Source organism: Homo sapiens, chromosome 7 (assembly GCF_000001405.40).
Source record: "Homo sapiens chromosome 7, GRCh38.p14 Primary Assembly".
Lineage (NCBI taxonomy): Eukaryota > Metazoa > Chordata > Mammalia > Primates > Hominidae > Homo > Homo sapiens.
In genome coordinates this window covers 150,584,675-150,587,211 of record NC_000007.14, presented here as the reverse complement: position 1 = coordinate 150,587,211, position 2,537 = coordinate 150,584,675, and the positions used below count along the sequence as shown (strand labels likewise).

General features: G+C 45.9%; 1 annotated feature.

Annotated features, from left to right (window-relative positions):
• Nucleotides 507-686: an enhancer, noted in NCBI's record as "active region_26835". NCBI's record gives its function as "activates an Ori minimal core promoter by ATAC-STARR-seq in GM12878 lymphoblastoid cells {active_cell/tissue: GM12878}" and the evidence as "EXISTENCE:reporter gene assay evidence [ECO:0000049][PMID:35858748]".

The following is a 2,537-nucleotide window of genomic DNA, read 5'->3' as shown; positions in this document are numbered from 1 at the left end:
TGGAACAGAAGGGAGTTATTCCCCATCCTGGGCCACCTGACAACCACAGAGTGACAGCCCCAGGAGAGAAAACCAACAGAATCTGACCCAGGCAGAGCTGCCAGAAGGAGACCTTCATTGGTGACTGTAGAGTGGAAAGAGAAAGCAAAAATGAAGGTCATGTCTGGTCACCACAGGGCAAAGGGGAAAGGACAGTCTGTTTCTTGTTTTTGGAAAGTTAAAACAATAGTAGGAAGTGCTCCAGTGGGTGTCAGGCTCTCTAACATCCTGGAATTGATCAGTCATCTGCATTCCTGAGAAGATGACAATTTATTAAGCAACTCCAGAGTTGTTTCCTCCTGGGTGTAGAGGGATAAACAGTTTCTCTTTCCAAGCCAGAGGGAGGAGAGTGAGCTTGGTATAGAAATGCCCAGTGCTGTCTTTGGTACCTTCCCCTGTAACTCAAAATCTCTAGGAAAGCTGCTGAAGCTTACATAATGCTGATCACTATTATGATGGTGGAAACTAGGCAGAAAACTGAACTTCAAGTGAATGAACTGCAAGTGCATGAAATGGGGTAAGACAGAGGACAGTGGCACACGCAGGAGGAAGTAGGGGAAGGATGAGGAAGTGAGTGCAGAAAGCTCCCTGCAGGAGGGAGTTTGGATTCTGTGTGCTGTGGAAATGCAGCTTGAGCCAAGTTTTACCATTCTCCAAGGGCAAGGGGGATGTACCACTGCCAAATGGGTGAAAAATATTTAACGAGTGCTTCACACACTCCAGGATATTGGAATCCAATGGTGAATAAGGAAGTGTTCTTCATCAGCCATAACTGTAGGAGACAGATAGCAAGTAGTCAAAATACAAGATCAAAACTACTTTGTCCTGGGTATACCCAGCATCAATGAGCATAAGTGTCTTGAATGGGCTAGGAAACATTTCCCACAAAAAGGTCAGATAGATGATGAATGCTGCTCTATGAATGCTTCAGCAGTGCCAAATCATCTTGTGGCTGACTGCCATGGTTATTACTTGAGACTGTCACTATGACAGTTACTACTGTTACTACTTGAGACCGTCATTACAAGACTGAATGAAGGGACGAACATAGAAATGAAAACTTAAGACAAAAGAAACCATTTTAAAGGAAAGGGAACTGGGGAAGAAGAAAAGGGCTCCCTGCTTCTAGTGAGCAAAGGCCGCCCCTGAGCTTCTACCACGCTTCGTATTTATTGGGTAGAATGACCAGGGAGCAGAAGGTAATGATTGGTCAGCTGCTTAATTGAACACAGGTTCACATTATTACTAACAGGCTTCAGATGTACCTAATCACAACAAACATTGCACTTGGCCGTCACTGCCCTCAGTATCCCTTCTGGGTGGAAGACACAGTTTGTCGGTCTGCCAACATTCTGCATTTGAGAAACAGTTTGCTGCCTACTCATATAGCCTCCAGTGGTATGCTGAATTGACCACGACCCTCAATCTTTTGTCCTCCAACATTTCTCCCTTTTTGTTTTTGAATTAATTGAATAAGGCAATTGCAAAATGTGCAGCCTTCAATTGCTGGTTGGTGGTTCGTTCGTCTTCACATTCAGATTCAACTGGCTCATGGCTCACACTGGGGGAACCAGGCCTGTGGCTGGGATCCATGGTTCCCTCCAATCTCCTGTTCCATGGTTGTACACACCTTGAGGGCACCCACATGGTTTGTTCATTTGCTGTGAAAACACAAGCATACCCTCGCCCCCACGTTAGTAAATCTAGCAAAGCAGAAGCAAAAAGTTTTTGTGGCTGTAGCCGGGAGGCATGCCGTTGCTGAAGCGTCTGCTCTGCAACCTGTAACTCAGCTTCTGTCTCTTTGGTTAATTACCGCAGGGTAAAACTTTCCATTGATAATGAGAGGCTGGCTCTTTCTGATTAACAGAAGGCACACAGAGAGCAAATCGAGGCTTATCCTTCTCCAGTCTCTCATTCCATCACCACCCAAAGAGAGCAGCCCAGGGAGCAGTGTGTGAGGGTGAACATTAGAAACATGAAAAGGAGCAGCATGAGAGTGAACAGCTTGTTGAAGTCCCAGAAACAAGTGAAACGGCCCTGGTTTGAATGCCTCTGACATATCTCCCCCTTTACAAGAGGACCCTTAATCCTAAGGGTTGCAGAGGGATGAAGATCTGTCTTCTGTAACTTCTTCAGGCTGAATAGGGGTGATGATATTCCTGCCTAACTATTAGGGTCTCTGTTTCTGCTTCAGAAGATAGTACAGGTGTCTCTACTACTGAAAAGGGCAGTACAGGCCAATTCTCATCCTCCCTCTCCTGCCCTCCACCCCCGGTGGGTTCAACGTGCAGGGCAAAAGACTCCTTTAAACCTTGAGACACAAAACACGAACCGCCCATCCAGTCTGAGACATGACAGAATCTCAGCACTCTGTTGAACACTTTGAGCTGTTCCTACTCCCACTAGGGATGTAGAAGATAGTTTTAGGGACCGAGATAGGGGCCAATTGTTTTTAGATATTACTGACACACTGACACATCAGCTCCTATATCCATAAG